Source organism: Homo sapiens, chromosome 6 (genome assembly GCF_000001405.40).
Source record: "Homo sapiens chromosome 6, GRCh38.p14 Primary Assembly".
NCBI lineage: Eukaryota > Metazoa > Chordata > Mammalia > Primates > Hominidae > Homo > Homo sapiens.
The window spans coordinates 13,615,290-13,633,314 of NC_000006.12; the positions used below are offsets into that span (position 1 = coordinate 13,615,290).

An 18,025-nucleotide genomic window follows, 5' to 3' on the forward strand; every position below is an offset into this window, starting at 1 on the left:
AAGTAGGCTTGCGCTCCGCTTGTAGCTGCTTCCGGGTCAGAGGTCAGACGGTCTAGCGCTGCGTGGGCCATGGTGCAGCTCCGACCGCGAGCGTCTCGCGCCCCGGCGTCGGCGGAGGCGATGGTGGACGAGGGCCAGCTGGCCTCGGAGGAGGAGGAGGCGGAGCACGGGCTGTTGCTCGGGCAGCCCAGCAGCGGCGCGGCCGCCGAGCCCCTGGAGGAAGACGAGGAAGGGGACGATGAGTTTGACGATGAGGCCCCGGAGGAGCTGACTTTCGCCAGCGCCCAGGCGGAAGCGAGAGAAGAGGAGCGGCGAGTGCGGGAGACCGTGCGCAGGTTCGGAGCCCGCTGCCCGGCGGGGAGAACCGCCCTTTCTCGTCCCGCTTGTCCTTCCCTTTGCTGACTTATCACCCTTCCTCCCAGGGATAAAACGCTCCTGAAGGAGAAGAGGAAGCGACGCGAGGAGCTGTTCATCGAACAGAAGGTTAGAGGCTAGGGAGGAGGTGTCTTATTAAAACAACTCGGCTCAGGGAGAATTCCTATGGTGGATGTAATTTGGGTTGGCAGGATATTGGAGTGGGGAAACAGTCACCAAGATTGCCTCTGACAGTGGTGGAAAGATGCTCGGGCCGGGCGCGGCAGTACTTTAGTTGGACGAGGTGGGCGGAGCCCGGGATGTCGAGGCTGCCTGGAGCCGAGATCACACCACTGCGCTCCAGCCTGGGCGACAGAGCGAGACCCTGTCTCAAAAAAAAAAAGTTCGTCTCCTTTAGTGTCCACCAACTGAAAATAAGAGGTTGCTGTGAGAATTAAATGAGGTGATTTGTAAACTGTAAGGGCTGTACAGACTTAGTGTATGGTTGCTTTGCTGTCTGATACTCGACACAGAGAGCTGGCTCCAGGCAGACATTACTTAACTGCTTTCAATTTATAACAGTGACCTGAGGGTTAGAATACCGTGGGCACCCTTTCTAGTTTTCATCAAGTCTTTCAGAGAATGTGGAGTTTTGTGGACCCGGTCTTCCCATAGCTTAGAGGTATGGGGGCAGTTTCCAGCCTAATTCATTTCTTTGCCTAGATGTAGGGCATTCTTAAAAGCGGTAACTTCAGAAGCAACTCCGGACATACTATGTACATGACTTTCTATTAATTTTAAACGTTTTCATTCCAAAAGAAAAGAAAACTCCTTCCAGACACTATTTTGGAGAAGTTAACCACAGCTTCACAGACTAAGTAAGTAATGGATCTTTTTATATTACTTGCTTATATACACCCATCTTTGAATTATATACTGGTACATTTATTTGAATCCATATAACTGAAGGAATTGTAGAACCCAAATTCAAAAGCTACCTTGGTATATGAATTTGATGGGAAAGACGGAGGTAACGTTCTACTTCTTATTTTACCATTTATTTTTGTTCATTCCCATAGCTAGCTTTTGAATTCCTGATCCCATTGTGTTCATTCAGTACATTTTGTTGACTGCCTGTCATTGTACTAGGGCATAGTGGGTGGTGGTGAATAAAAAGTGTTTTGAATCATTTAGTGGGGTAGCAGGCACTTATCCACAGGCTCTGAAAACTTGATTTGTCCCATACTTGCCTTACCTGCCACCAACCTGTCCTTCCTGTTCCCCACTTCATTTAGCATCTTTGGTGTTTTATGGTTTAAAGCGAAAAGCTATAGTCGTCTTTGGGAATTGATCAAACCCTACTAAATTTAGCCTTCTAAATTTTTTTTTTTCTATCCTCTTTTTCTCCCCTTAAGGCTTTAAATTCAGAAATTCAGCCCCCTTTTGCTTAGGCCAGTGACTCTCAAGTTTTCAGTAAAAAAACTTTACCAAAGAGTTACTCAGATCCTGAATACATTAAACGTAAGAGCAAATCTATTTGGTGGCAAATTCCCTTTCATCTTTTAAAACCAAGCTCAAGTGTCACCTTTACCTTCTCATTTGCCCCCCCCCACCTCCCATCACTTCCGCTTTTGTGTGGCCTTTCTCCTGTGCAAATGCTTCTGTATTGTATTCTGTCCATTTACATTTCTCTCTCCATTGGGCCACAGCCCCCTTGAGGCTGTTCCCTGTCTCCTGTGCCTAAACTATTAAATTAATCCTTTGTGATTTCTCCAAATGAAATGAGGCAGACCTACTCCCATTCACTTCATATTTCAAATACTTTATAACTTGTTCTGAACAAGTGTTTCACTTGAACTCCATTGCCCACAGCATTTTGCTGCTTTGAAAGCCTGCTAATAGGCTCTCAGATTTTAACTGTGAAGATCTTCCAATGCTTGAGAGTTGGTGGCAGTGTACTAGGGAGTGACTATTGCTTTCCAAACTGATGAGAGCTCCTGAGTAGAAATTGAGGGTGTTGGTAATGAAAGGGGGTGTCTTACTTGTAAAGGCAAATGAAATAATATAACATGTTTTGAGTAATCTTTACTGCCATTGCAGTCAGTGGTTTTGTTTTTTTTCCTTAGCATCAAGAAATCGCCAGGAAAGGTGAAAGAAGGTATGACTATTCTAATTTAACTAACTTCTCATGTAAGTGTCAAGTGCACTTGCAGATGTTTCCAGTCAAATATGAATGGCCCTTAGAAAGCCAGCATGGGCCTGGCCAAGGTTAGCTGGGGCCTATTCCCTGTATTTCATACAAATAAAAACTGCATCCACATTGGTGTGTAGTGGATGCTTAAAGTGAACTCCAGTAAATTTCCTGATTTATTTTTACGTGAATGCTAATTAGAAAATGTAACTCTATTTTTTAGTTAATTTGCAAAAGAAAAATGAAGACTGTGAAAAAGGAAATGACTCCAAGAAAGTTAAAGTACAAAAAGTACAGTCTGTCAGGTAATGAGTCTTTTGTTTCATTTGGGATGTAAAGGAGACCTTTAAGAGAGTTAAAGTATTGGCTAACATGGGAAAATATTTTATTTTATTTTATTTTATTTTTATTTTTTTATTTTTTTGAGACGGAGTCTCGCTCTGTCGCCCAGGCCGGACTGCGGACTGCAGTGGCGCAATCTCGGCTCACTGCAAGCTCCGCTTCCCGGGTTCACGCCATTCTCCTGCCTCAGCCTCCCGAGTAGCTGGGACTACAGGCGCCCGCCACCGCGCCCGGCTAATTTTTTGTATTTTTAGTAGAGACGGGGTTTCACCTTGTTAGCCAGGATGGTCTCGATCTCCTGACCTCATGATCCACCCGCCTCGGCCTCCCAAAGTGCTGGGATTACAGGCGTGAGCCACCGCGCCCGGCCGGGAAAATATTTTAATTAGTAGTAATTTCAGATTGTCGTCTCTGTGGAAAAACCAATTTTGGGCCGGGCATGTTTGCTTACACTTGTAATCCCAGCGTTTTGGGAGGCTGAAGCAGGTGGATTGCTTGAGTCCAGAATTTCAAGACCAGCCTAGGCAACATGGTAAAACCCAGTCTCTACACAAAATAAAAAAAGTAAGCTGGGCGTGCTGGTGTGCACCTGTATTCCCAGCTACTCCAGAGGCCAAGGTGGGAGGATCACTTGAGCCCAGGAGGTCGAGGCTGCAGTGAGGCGAGATTGTGCCACTGCACTACAGCCTGAGCGACAGAGTGAGACCCTGTCTCAAAAAAAAAATCGGTTTTCATAAAAAAATAAAGATCAGTTGAACACTTTGTCTTTGCAGGTCCTGCAGGTTAAGTTCAAAAACTTTTTTTTAGTGGTTTTATTATTGAGAAAATTTCATTTCACCTCTCCCAATAGATAGATGTTTATTTCAAGATACACTGCAGCCTACTGTCAGCACTTCAAACTTGCCAGCCTACTCTTATTCAGGCAGTTTAATTTTTCTGGCTGCTGAATGTTCCTCCAGTCACCAGCCCTTATGGTGCATGGTGCTGATGCAAAGACAGTCATTCCAATGGAAAGGTTGTTCACCACTATTGCCAGTCATGGCAATTCTTCAAAAGGAGTCATTTTTCACAAAATTCAACCTTTCCCTGACAATATGGCCTTATCTTCTATTCTTATGGTCTACAGAAGTCACAGAGAAAGTGCCTATTGCTGTTACTGGAATTTTGGCCGATACTGTGGACGATGTCTGTAGTATCTGTCTTGAAGTCCACAGGCATTCATTTGAGTTGCATTCAGTACAGCTTGGTGGTCCAAATCATTACTTGCAAATCGGTGTTTTAGCCACAAGATCAAATATAGAAACAAATGTAAAGCAAAGTGCAAGACCATGAGAGGAATTCATCACAGTATGTTGGACTTTTCATTTGGAAAAACTTATTTGGCACAATCGATTTGGAAATCATGCTGTCAATTCTCTTTTACTACATGTATCCGAACAATTTCCTGTTAACTAATGTTTTGACTTTTGGTTTTAGTATATTTTAGTACAAAAGTCCAGGAACAAGTTCTTCAGTTGGATCTATCTGAGATGCTGATTGTTCAACTGATGAACAAAACCACCATGTGCTCTACTAAAATATGAGTGTCTGTTTCTTGTAGTCCTTGTAATTTAGTTTTATCCTATCTGTGCATATATAAAATTAGTTTCATTTATCACTATGAGACAAATGATAAAAATATTTTAAAGTAAGCATGTAGCCTGGGCACGGTGGCTCATGCCTGTAATCCCAGCACTTTGGGAGGCCGAGGCTGGTGGATCACAAGGTCAGGAGTTCGAGACCAGCCTGGCCAACATGGTGAAACCCCGTCTCTACTGAAAATAAAAAAATTAGCTGGGCATGGTGGCAGGCACCTGTAATCCCACTATTCAGGAGGCTGAGGCAGGCAAGTTGCTTGAACCTGGGAGGCAGAAGTTGCAGTGAGCTGAGATCGCGCAGCCTGGGTGACAGAGCGAGACTCTGTCTCAGGAAGAAAAAAAAAAGAAAGTAAGCATGTGTAATTCTTATTTAACCTTTTATATTGATCAACAGCCAGAATAAAAGCTACTTGGCCGTAAGGCTAAAAGACCAAGATCTGAGAGATTCAAGGCAACAAGCAGCACAAGCCTTCATACATAATTCATTATATGGGCCAGGAACCAACAGGACTACTGGTAATTTTTTTATGGACTATTTTTCTCACTTTTTACTGCAAATAAAACTGTGAAATGATAAATACCTTTCTTTTCTAGTAAATAAGTTCCTGTCTCTTGCCAACAAGAGGTTACCAGTGAAAAGAGCTGCTGTCCAGTTTTTGAATAATGCTTGGGGTAAGATCCAGCTTTATTCTCCTGTCTCTAATAGCTTTATATGTTGAATAATGTTCTTTTGAAGGAGATAGTTCATAATTATACTTTTCCCCCTTATAATGGCTTATATATTAAGTTACTTGTGAAAAACAGGTCAATGTAGTATGTATATACATCTAAAGTATAATAAGCCCACCCAGTTTTAGTAATTACATTCATATAGAGTAATTAAAAAAATTTTGAATTATGTTTTTCTAATATACTTACTGCAGAAAACTTTATATTCTAGGAATCCAAAAAAAACAAAATGCCAAGAGGTTTAAAAGACGGTGGATGGTCAGAAAGATGAAAACTAAGAAGTAAATCAATGCTAAATGAAGAATCTGTACTTTGTATGTATAGAATTTATCTAATAAATCATTCATAGATCATTTTAAAGGATCATTATAAAAATCATAAACCTATTTGAGGAAGTGCTCAACCACATTTCATTCTTCTGGAGTAGAACTGTGCCTTGCAATCCTAGAGGAAAAAGTGGTTTAAGAAGGAATTGTTTTCTTTTTAATATATTTAACTGAATTCAAGCCATACCCACATCAGCAACAGCACCTCTTCTACTCTCCCCGGGTTAGAGGGGTGGCAAAAATGGCACGGACTAAAAGGAGAAATGGATATTCCAGCAAAGTCTCTAACTGCAGCCTGTAGACAATTTGCTATTAAAGATTCAGTGCACAAAATATAGCTAACAGCTTTTAAATTTTTACTTTTAACCAGTCTGGGGATTTGCTTGCCTGGTGAGTCTCATATGCCATATTATGAATATGAAAATAATGAAGTTAATTTCCTGTTGCCTTTCTGTGTCAGCCACAATATCAGGTCTAACCCTAATCCAGGGATGCCAGTAAACTGAAGGCAATTTTAGGTTGTAGAACTCAGATTAATTGTAGAAACCATTAATTTTAATTGCTCTAATTTTCATAGTAATCATAAAAAGTATGCAAGTACCTAATATATAAACTCAATTGACACTGTATCTGTAGAAGTAAATTTTTAATGGCTGGTTAATTATATCACTACATTTTATTGCAATATAGTACTCATTTAAGCACTTAAAAATGGAAGGTGTACAAAGATTAAATTAAGACACGGTAAATTGACTAAATATTTGGTTTTTATATAAATAAAGGTCATAACCACACCGTTGACATGTAATACTGTTATAATACAACAGTTAAACTTGTGAGTCTACAACAGAAGTCATCTGTAGTTAAACAGGAAACAAAGTTGAAAAAGACCATGTTAAAACAAAACTACTGGGACTAACAGGTCGGGATTGTAAGTAGCAACAAACATATTCACTCAGCTCCTGAGTATTTCAAGTTTTACAGTACACATTAAAAATGATTTCTTCCATCAACACTATAAATTCAAACTGTCGGATGTTTATGCATTTTGCAAGTTACACTGATTGAATGCTTATATGGGAGTGGGGGTCGGAACATCTCCCAATTTGAAGTTTACATCACCCACATGCTAACACAAACACAACTTGTTCCATTTCCTTCCCCTCTCTCCCCCCTCCCCCACAAAGAAGGCAGGATTTTTGGTTTCTTTTAGGTAATTGTTTTAAAGGATTTGTGATGATCAATTTGAACGTCTGAAATTCAGTAATATTTAACTCTTAGACAACTAAGAGGTTAAAGATGGAAAATAATTTCTCCTAACACTAAGTTAGAAAATCATTTGCATCATGCTGTAAACTAGGAAGCAATGTAAAGCGACAAAAACCTGTCCCCAGTACATAATTTAAAAAATCTAAATTTCAAATCAGCAGAGCTGGTCTACTTCCATGTTGACTATATGCCACAATATAAGTGTGAGCTCTTGAAATGCATAGCTAATGTAGGTAGTCTTCCACTGTGGCAAATGCGCAGGATCCAATTCCTGATCGAGCCATCAGTCCTAGACATTGTGTGGCCTGTCCCATTGCTAGGGCAAGTGGAGGTTGCTTTGGCAGATTGTGGGTTTCTGAGGAAAAATAATTTAAAAATGAGAACAGCAATTAGCAAGACATTTTAAAAAACATTTCAATCAGGAGAATACTGCAATGACTTTAAAAACTACCACTCCCATACCACTCTGAAATATCAGCAAATGAAGGTTTCTAAGCAAAAGACAGATGCCGCCTTGGACATACTATTCTGACAAGGTAGTGTGGGTATTGTGTATTCAACTATAAGATAAACTCTGGCAGAATCAGACTTTTAAAGTATCAGATACTAAAATACTTCCATATTAACTATGATGGGAAAGGTACAATTTTTTATCTGATATTTGGAGTGGAGAGTAAGGAATTATTTCCCTTCTGGTTGATCAAAGTCAGTTGATACTAACTAAAACTAAAAAAGGCACCAGGTTTTCATTACAAGTTTCCACTGATGGGTTCTTCCACCTCTGTGGATAGGACCAAACAGGCTGCCTAGCCATCTCCAAGGCATATATAGGTAATGTTATTTGGGCTGGTGGGGAGTAAGTGGTGGTGGTGACAGTGAGAGAACATACAGCAGAGCCACCCCACAGTTTTGGAGGTGCTAATTTACAGTGGACAGTTCAGACATTTAAAAAAATGCCAATAAATTTTCAGGGTCCTGCATATCATAAGTTTCTTTGTCAGACATTTGTAGTACAAATGCAATAATTAACAAAATTTGTTCCTTGCCAGAGATGGAAAAAAATGAACTAATGGTAAAAGTGGCCAGACTCAGAAGCTGGTAATTTCTCTTTATGAGAAGGCAATGTCCAAACTAATCAATAAAATTACTAATCAGTTCTTTATAGGCACAGTTGACAACAAAGGGCAAAAACAGTTGACACATGGCTAGGAAGGCTTCATATGGTTTAACTCCACTCTTGGTTCAGAGGATGCAATTTGATGGTGGAAGAAAGAAGAGGAAATTTCCAAAAGGGAAAAAGCACAATATCAGAAAGAAGCAAATTCAGGACTTAAAGGTAGAAGAGAAAACAAAAACAGGATTAAGAATAAACGTGTGCAAAAAAGGGCACATAGATTGATGAGAAAGTGTGGTGTCTTGAGGGTTCACAGGGAAGACCGTGCTCAAAGACAAACATCTACAGGGAATATTTTTTTAATTTTATTTTGGCCAAAGGAAGCATCTGGCGATGCATCTTTAACTTTTTTGGATGTATGAAATTTTCATAACACTATATAGATGGACCTACATAATATAGCATGGTATTTATAAACATATACATGCCCATCTATAGCAGTTTAATAATTGTGTCATTAATTTTACAGGAATCGCATACATTTATATTAATAAGATTAAGCACTATTTATGGCTGAATCTACATAATATAGCACAATATGTAAGAGTATATGTGTCTATAGATAATGGTGCTCAACAATTAAATTCCCTTGAAGAACTCAAGAAACTAAATTGTAAGAAAACTGGTCACTTTAAAGATTAGTATCATCTAATAATTAGGTCTTAATGATTACCTACAATATAACTTCAAAAAGACATTTATAGTAAACCATAATTTTCCTTACAATTCCAGCATTATTACTAAGTTACTTTTACCAACGGAGCTAAATGAATTTTGTAGAACCAATGAAAATATAACACATTAACCAAAGAAAATTCACATTTATATACAAATCCTAAATTCCGGAGAACTACAACACTGAGGACACTACTCCTATTCCCAAACTTCAGTATTGGTCCTTAACAAATTAATAAATTTTCTAAGGGCAAAGAAACAGACTGAGTCTTAAATATGAATGCTTTTCATTGCTTCCTTTACATTCTTGCTGTAAGAGTCCTGGCCCTCATTGCAAGTCTCCCTATCTAAACTACTCTTTAATCTACTTTTTGTGGCACTGCCCTCATCTTCCTAAACTAGTTTGAAATATGTGACTAAAAGTCCCTGAACCTTGCAGGGCCAAACAGCACAGCACAGACTTCTAAACTAGACTGGAGTCCCAATTACCTGGGAATTAGACTCTGAAGTCAAATGAAAACTCACTCTTTATATAAATTACCTTTGATGAGAACTGCCCAAAACTCAAACTTGTTTTATGTAAACAATCGACCCTATCACATTTATATAGAAATGCACAATATGTGCAGTTACACAATTCATATAAAAAGTACTTGTTCAGTATATAAATACTATAATCACAAACGCTACAGTGAGCTGCTCATAGGAATGGCAACCAAACGAACATCGAATTAGCGTTTCGCACTTGATGCTCACCCCTGGCTAAGCCTCGCCTTTTAAATTGCTTTTCTCTTCCTCACCCACCCTTTTTATTGGGTAAGGGCATGTAGTTGAATCCGGCTAATATAAATGCAAATAGAATGTGACATCAAGGCTTGATCCTGCCGGGTACTCACAAGTCATCAGGAAGCCCCTTGTGCCCATATTCATAAGCATGGTGGGAGCTGTGATACCAGTGGCTTAGGCTGCTGCTACCCATTGCAAATTTAGCTCAAGCAAAATGGTTGGGAACCAGGTAACAGGGGAGGACCAGCTAGGAATCCTGCCCTCTACTGGATCAGTTTGAGCTTCTCTGATATTCAAGCTCTTCACTCCCTTACTTCCATTTTCATTCTCTCCATCAAAACCTTTCTTGACCTCTTTTCTTCAAATGTACCCTGTTCCCTTCTAGCCTAACTCTTGTGACAATTATTAATCTATGTTCTTAACGTTCTCCGATTCCTTCTACAGCAGCCAAACGAGAGAATGCCACCCAATTCCTAGCCTAGAAATCAGTGGCAGAAAATGCCTTTCACTAAAGAGGGCTGTAAGGAATGTCTCTGGTAGGGTAGTATTTTGAATTATACACAAGGACCACCAAATCTCTCATTCTAATGAGAGAAGTAGACATTCGTGGCTACCAGAAATGCTTACATACATGCACACAAAAACTTCTATTTCCCAAACATCCCAAGTTGTACCCCATCTTACTGTTTTTATTCTATTTAAATCCACTTGAATCTGGAATTAAAGGAGGGGGTTTCTATATTTTAGGTATTTTTATATTTTAAAAATATAGAAAACATTTTCCTGATGATTTTACCAAAGTGTAAATGCCAGTACAAACACCCTCTCTTAAATTTTCAGAGAATCTAACTGAAATTGTGCCTTATTTGGCTTTACTTACCTAATATTGCACTGTTAAGAGCTGAGCACACAGGTTCTCTCTGAATCGGGTCAAGCTGATTTCCAACTGGGCTGTTCCAGGGATCTGAATATGCTAGTAGACTGAATGCATCCTGTTGAAAACACATCGATTTGGTTTTAATTCAAATAGTTCAACTATTATGCTCACAAATGTTTCCAAGTTGAGAGGTAAAATATGGCTTCCAGGCACAGACTAATAATGTAAACTTTAAACCCATTTACTCCCAGCACTGGGACGCTCTACATTTTTGAACATTAAATTATGCAGCAAAGCCTAATTTATTTTCATTTTTCCTGTGGACAGCCATTCTCATTCAACTTCCTCCCATCCCTAAACACAAAACAGGAAAAAAAAATTTCAAAGGAATGAACTAGTACTGGTGTAGGGAGAGTGGAAGGCAAAACATTCAGATGTTTTACTTCACAATTTATTACTACTGATATGAATGTGACAGTCAAAGGACAGGGCCTGTCTGCATTTCCTTTTTTCAACAGATTTAGGAACTGGACACATCTCACTGGGATGTCATCTTCTCAAATTCAGTTATGAAAAAATTAAACAGGCTGCCCTTCAGGACCTGTTTATGCATTCAGTATTTCCAACTATCTCAAGCCACACCTCTTCAAAACTTAAAATGACTGACAGTCGTCTTCTTTTCAAACAACTACTTTATATTTTTTGTCTTCTTTCTATGGGAGGCACATACTAATGGTGGTTTCAGATACTGGCTTCAAGTCCAAGCTCCACCACTAACTGGCTGTGTAGCCTTTGGCAATTGACAATCTAAGTGCCAGTTTCATTACTGCATAATGGGGACTATAAGAGGCCCTATTTCCTAGATTTGTATGAGGACTAAATGAAATTAGCAGTATCAGTTCATTCTAATCTTTCAATAAATGACGTCTTATTATTATGCCAAAAGTCAATACCCTAATCCAGAGCAATATTATACAAATATAAAAATAGAGAAATTCAGAACACTCTTACCAATTTGGAAGGCAGACATGGAGAGTTGCTGCAGAAACTGTCAATTTGTGAGTTCAGGAACACAACACTTTGAAAATACTGACTACTGAAATTCCTAAAGAGCACCATCTCCTAGGTTCAGCTGCTCAAAAAACCAGATTCCACACCCATTTTCCATCATTTCTCTAGTTATCTTACTAGTGTTATGAAAGCAGAGGTGGGGGAAAGGCTTCTGATTAACTGTACTCTTGCCCTTTCTCATCCAAATAAGCCTCTAATATTGTGGATTTAAAGAAGAATAACCCATGAAGAAATGCTGTGAAGTCAGTCTGAGACCACAAGGCATGGAATACACGTGCCTCTACGCAAACACACATGGCTCCTCCATTGTTTTATATTGCTGAGTATTTCATTCTGGGTAGTTTTCTCCTCCAATTACAATAGAAGTTCTTTGAAGATAAAAATTATTTACTATACTATTTTGAATCCCCTGAAGCTATGCAGGTGCTTGGTACAGGAAGATAATTCATATGCCTGTTGAGAGCAAGACCTGCTTCTTCCAGCAATGAAGATGTTTTATGCATCCCACAAAGCTACTTGGTTCTACTTCCCGCCCCTAACCCAACCCACACTTCCCAACCCATGGAAAGAATATATGACCCTTTATCCTGTAAAGCTAACTCAAATCAAACACATTATTTTGTTTTTGGCCGGGTGTGGTGGCTCACACCTGTAATCCCAGCACTTTGGGAAGCAGAGGCAGGCAGATCATTTGAGGCCAGGAGTTCAAGACCAACCTAGCCAACATGGTGAAACCCCATCTCCACTAAAAATACAAAAATTAGTCAGGCATGGTGGTGCATGCCTCTAATCTCAGCTACTCGGGAGGCTGAGGCAGGAGAATCACTTGAACCCAGTAGGCGGAGGCTGCAGTGAGCCAAGATCACGCCACTGCACTCCAGCATGGACGACAGAGAGAGACTCCATCTCCAAAAAAAAAAAAAAAAAAAAAAAATCACGTTATTTTTAAGGACTGAGCTTTGCTCAAGACTTAATTTACCCCACAACCATCTGATGAGGGTACCATACCCATAGTACAGATAAATTTAAAAAGAAATACTGAACAATTTTTCCAAGGAATACTTGGTAAACAAAAACTTCAAGTACAAAACTATATTCATAGCCTACATCCTAACACACCACCGAAAATGTGAAATGTCGCACTCCCAAATCTTAAATTAAGACTACACTGTCTAGTGCAGCAAACCACCATGGCACACGTTTACCTATGTAACAAACCTGCACATCCTGCACATGTACCCTGGAACTTAAAGGAAAAAAAAATACTACTACACTGCAGTGTTTAAAAACTCAGAGAAAAAGTTCTTTAAAATGACAACAACGTATTGTGCACTAATATTGTGTGAAGAAGTGTTTTAGGCACTAATATGGATCATCTATTTAATCCTTACAATAATCATCTAAAGTTGTTATCATGTCTATCATCTAGAGAAGCAAACTGAGGCAGTGAATAGTAAGATGCAGATTCTTTTAGTTACCAATCTAAATGTTAAGAAGAAAAAACATCTAAAATTTTTCTCTGGTATTTCATTTTCAGTACAGTTCAACATACAGCTGTCAGATATTGAGGATACAGTGATGACCAGGACCTAGTCACTGCTTCAAGAAAAGGCTTACATGTAAATAAATAACACACAGTACATTACTATTGACTTAATACATGCAAACTCAGGCTGAGAGAAAGGAGAAAAAAGCATGGTTGGAAACATGGGTAGGGGTTAGGAGCTAAAATACCCCAAAAAACATACTAAAAAGCTTCAAGTTTTTCCAATAAGGAAATAAGGTTTTAAATGAAGGAAACCAATATGGATTAGACTTAATTTTAGAAGGATCACACAAAAACACTATAAAACATGGCTTGGAAGTAGAGTGAAGCTGTAAGCAACAAAACTAACAGAGCCTTAAAAATAAAAAATGGTTTATACCATCAAACTCCCAGTCGTAAACATCTAGGACTTGATTCTTTCTTCACAAAGGAAAATGAATGAAACTGGCAAAACAATACTAATGGTTTAAAGCCTGCTGTAAAAGTTAACTGGTGATGATAACCAAAGAAATGCAAATAAGCAATTTTAAGATACTAACATATGTTAAACCCGCTAAAGTAGCATTAATGTAGTAGTGCCATTGGTACATTCCTTCATTACTGCTGGTAAAAGTTGGTAAAGGGTTTCTGAAAACCAGTATAGCAACATGCAGTGAGAGCCACAATAATGTTCATATTCTTTGACTCAATTCTACTTCTAGAAATTTATCTCAGTGGAATAATTTAAGAAACAAAGATACATGTATAAAGATTTCACTAAAGCATCTGACATAAAAGCAAATGGAAAAATCCAACAACAGAGCAATGTTGAAATAAACCTATACAGCAACAATAAAATATCATTGAGCCTTTTTGTTTTTTTGAGACAGGGTCTTGCTATGTCACCCAGGCTGCAGTGCAGTGGTGCAATCACAGCTCACTGCAGCCTCGAGCTTCTGGGCTCAAGCAATCCTCCTGCCTCAGCCTCCCAAAGTGTTGGGATTACAGATGTGGGCCACCACACCCAGCCTCGTGTAGTTATTTAAAAATAATTGGAAATAATGCATAGAAACTGGGAGGAAATAAATTCTTATGACAAAACAGAATACAAAATAGTGTCACTACAGTTATTAGCTAGTTAAGATACATGCACATGGGAGTTAAGGCACAAAACTGAAAATACCTGAAATATGTAGCATTATGGGTTATTTTAAAGCAAAAAACATTACCTCAGTGGAATAACTTCTGAGGGAAATGTGACATCATTTAGGTAGGATTTTCAAATTGTACTCATATTTGGTTTAGAATCTGGAGCAGTTTCTAAATAGGGTGACTCTAAATGGTTCTCTTGCTACTTCAGTTACTAAAGGGTCCTTGCAGGCTGGGGCTGTTCATTCATACTGGACTTTCCACAGTCCCTACAACAATGCCTCTCCACACTGCAAAAATTCAATAAACAGCTGCTCAACAAACAATTCAAGAGTTCTTTTGGGAGCCACTGGAAGACGTAGGCAGATAAGGAACAAAGACAACAGGAAAAGAGGAAAGAAGACTTTGAAAAAACTAAAAGGAAAAAGGTCAAGAGAAACAGTGTGCCACCTGACCTTCAACATTAATCAAATCTCTCAATCTCTCTCTCTCATGTCTCTGTCTCTCTCTCTCTCTCTCTCTCTCTCGTGTGTGTGTGTGTGTGTGTGTATTTGCATGAACTTCTGAGTCACATGACTCAAAGTTTATGCAAACCTAAAAACGATGCTACAATTTTAAAAAATGCTACAATTACAAGTGAACTGAAGTGACAAAAAGAAGTGGAATGATTTCTAAACCTGTTTTCTCTTCATGTTGCCCTCAAATCATCCGGCCTTGTTCTTTGGCTACTTATATATAAGGTGGGTCAGTTGCTCACCTTATCCCTATCTAGATCAAGATAAGTTTGGGAAATGAGATGGAAGCAGCTCAGAGTATTAAGAAAGTCTCTGAAAGTAGCTGGCATTTGCTTAGAAGTTAGAGGTGCAAAATCAAAGACATCTATACTCTTTAAATAAAGATGATACATCTTCACACAATTCAGTATATAACCAAGGAATATCTTTGAGAATTGGCCATATAATGCCATCTTCTGAGCTTCATGTAAATAAGAATCAAACACAAAGTAAGCTAATGGAGTATAATCTTAAATTTTCAAAGGTATTTCATCCTGCTCAATTAGCATAAAGTTTTAAAAAGAAAACCAAGTCAGATGACCTAGTGTAAAAAAAGTCTTAAGAATTCTTAAAAAAAAAAAAAAATTCTTTATTTCCAAATATGCCCTAAAACAACAGTACTCAAAGTATGATTCAGGGACACCTGGGTCCAAAAACCTTTCAGGGGATCTGTGAAGTCAAAATTATTTGTATAATAGTACTAAGATGTTCCTTGCCCTTTTCTCTTTCATTTCCTCTGACTATATAGTGGAATTTTCCAGAGGCACAAGACATGTGATACCACAACAGACTAAAGGCAGTCTGGTCTGTATGCGAATACAGCTCACCTATTAAACCAAGCATTAAAGAGACTTACAAAAAAATATAAAGCAATGCCACTCTTCTCATTTTTCTATTTTTTTTTTTTTAAGAGGCAAGGTCTCACTATGTTGCACAGGCTGAACCTGAACTCCTGGGTTCAAGTGATTCTCCTGCCTCAGCCTCCTGAGTAGCTGGGACTACCGGCGCCCGCCACCAGGCCCAGCTACTTTTTTGTATTTTTAGTAGAGACGGGGTTTCACCGTGTTAGCAGGATGGTCTCAATCTCTTGAACTCATGATCCGCCCGCCTCAGCCTCCCAAAGTGCTGGGAATACAGGTGTGAGCCACCGCGCCCGGCCTGATTTGACTTTTTAAATTAAACTTGTTTCAATTATCAATTATTTTTTATCTAACATAAAAATAATTTAACTTTTTTGATAGCTCAGGGTAACCACTAGAAACAGCAGTTTTTATACTATGGAGTAGATGAAGTTCAAAGTATGATAAATACACCTGACTTCCCATCTCAGCTAGGGAAAATACAAGATTGCATGCCTTTAACTTGAGGTGCTCTATAACACATCCTAGGCCAGGCAAGCATGTTATGTCCTACACTTGTGCTATGTTTCAGATTTCAGATTTTTTCAAATGTTAAAACATTACTAATTGAGCATCTCTCATCTTAAAGTCCAAAATGTTCCAATGAGCATATCCTTGTGTATCATGTCGGCACTCTTAAGTATCAGATTTTGGAGCACTTCAGATTTTCGGACTAGGGATACTCAACCTGTACTAACTTTCAGTCCAGGTCAGGAAGAAACAGCGGCAGGAATCTTTTGCTTGCCCTTTCCTACCATACCCAAACATTAGTCTCAAGGCCACTGCATTCATCTCCCCTTTAATTTCAGTCTTCTTCCAAAATATTCAGAAGAAAATGTTTACAATGAACCAACTGTTAAAGAGCTGTACATCTCTACAACTGCAATGCTGACTTAAGTTAGGAGAAAGCCCCTCCACCTTCAACTGGTACACAAAACTGTGGCTACTTTACTGAATTAGATTGTATCCATCCTATCAGCTCATGGACAACAATCCAGAAGAGACTTTAAAATGTATTTTAACTATTCTGGCCATGAAAAGTGACCCAATTCTTCACTAATTCCCATCAAAATGAGAACCATGTGTTATACATCCAAAATGCTATAAACCTGAACAACATTTACTAAAATGAGATCTCAGACCTATAGTTTTATCTGCACGCCCACATTGCTCCTAGTAACTGCTGATTTTACAGCTGAGAAAATAAAACTAAGAAACTAAGTTAACGAGGACACACAATGTTGATAAGCACTAGCACTGGGATTTAATCCTTTTTTTTTTTTTTTTTTTTTTTTTTTTTTTTTTTTTTTTTTTTTTTTTGCTTTAGTCCAATGCTCTTTCCAGTAGATCAGAACTGCCTAACTTCATCAAATATTTCCACTCTCAGATGGGCAAGGAGCCAGGGGGAAGGTCAGGTCCCAGTTCCCTAACAAGAATTTCTGGTACACTGCTCAGTGTTTCACAAAACTACATTTTAGTTCCTCTGACATATTCATAATTTTTCAAGAAAAAATATATTCACCTTCAACATTTTTTTGTTTGCAGTGTTCTTGCCACAGTCTCTCCTTAGCTGTTCACTCATTGCTTGCAGCTCTCGTCCAAAGTGGATCATTCTTTCTATGGCGGCCTGACTTCCTCCACACAACTGGCGTCTCAACTGACTTGAATCAACTTCTGTAAGAAAAACAGACAAGTATTTTACTACCTTATGGAATGGAGTATAATGAGGACACGAACATACATTTCTTATACCATTTTGTACATTTAGTAACTATTCCCTAATATTTCATCTAAATATGCAGATTGTTAAAAATTCATTTTTAATATGAAACTGCAGCTAAAAGATATACTTTATTTAGCTCTCAAGAGTCTAGGATCCAGTATTCAGCATGCAGTTGAGAGGGGACAACCTTTCAGTGTTAGAGGGTACTTATGTCAGAAAAAAATTTTAGAAAAAGTATAATTCCCTAAAACTACATTAAGCAACATTTAAAAAAAAAAAAAAAAAAAGGAAAACTGTTAATAATGCCACTCAGGCTGCCTTAACTGACGTAGTAGAGATGTAATAAAATGCTCCTGAAAGCTAAGAAAAGCTAAATGACTACAATAAAAATACAGAAGACAGCATATTATACTAACTGAAAAGATTAAATGCACTACTTTTAGAAAAATACCACTTTGAAAAAATAATTTTTTTTTTTTTTGGATGGAGTCTCACACTCTGTCACCCAAGCTGGAGTGCAGTGGTGTGATCCCAGCTCACTGGAACCTCTGCCTCCCAGGTTCAAGCAATTCTCCTGCCTCAGCCTCCTGAGTAGCTGGGATTACAGGCACGCGCCATCATGCCTGGCTAATTTTTGTATTTTTTAGTAGAAATGGGGTTTCACCATATTGGTCAGGCTGGTCTCAAACTCCTGACCTTGTGATCCGCCCACCTCGGCCTCCCAAAGTGCTGGGATTACAGGCG

General features: G+C 38.8%; 2 protein-coding genes across 6 annotated transcripts in view; one reads left to right on the forward strand and one right to left on the reverse strand.

The window, feature by feature from the left end:
• The first annotated feature begins 45 nt into the window (after positions 1 to 45).
• Positions 46 to 17,181, forward strand: NOL7 (nucleolar protein 7). 2 transcript variants are annotated; one of them, NM_001317724.2, is made up of 9 exons: positions 46 to 335; positions 423 to 483; positions 1,174 to 1,232; positions 2,481 to 2,512; positions 2,769 to 2,850; positions 4,919 to 5,040; positions 5,119 to 5,196; positions 5,465 to 5,567; positions 17,104 to 17,181. In NM_001317724.2, exons 1-8 carry the CDS (start codon positions 70 to 72, stop codon positions 5,536 to 5,538), a joined length of 774 nt encoding a protein of 257 aa, NP_001304653.1. In that variant the 5' UTR covers positions 46 to 69; the 3' UTR covers positions 5,539 to 5,567; positions 17,104 to 17,181. The 2 variants fall into 2 exon arrangements, with proteins under 2 accessions (NP_001304653.1, NP_057251.2); NM_016167.5 differs by lacking the exon at positions 17,104 to 17,181 and having other exon boundaries at positions 5,465 to 6,423.
• RANBP9 (RAN binding protein 9) overlaps positions 6,209 to 18,025 on the reverse strand; it is a 90,338-nt gene continuing 78,521 nt past the window's right edge. For all 4 annotated transcript variants that reach the window (XM_011514205.3, NM_005493.3, XM_047418032.1 and 1 more), the window contains 3 exons: positions 17,081 to 17,232; positions 10,364 to 10,475; positions 6,209 to 7,203 (listed from right to left, as the gene is read on the reverse strand). In XM_011514205.3, the coding sequence (XP_011512507.1) occupies positions 7,073 to 7,203; positions 10,364 to 10,475; positions 17,081 to 17,232 (395 nt within the window). In that variant the 3' untranslated portion in view covers positions 6,209 to 7,072. The remainder of the gene's footprint in view (positions 7,204 to 10,363; positions 10,476 to 17,080; positions 17,233 to 18,025) is intronic.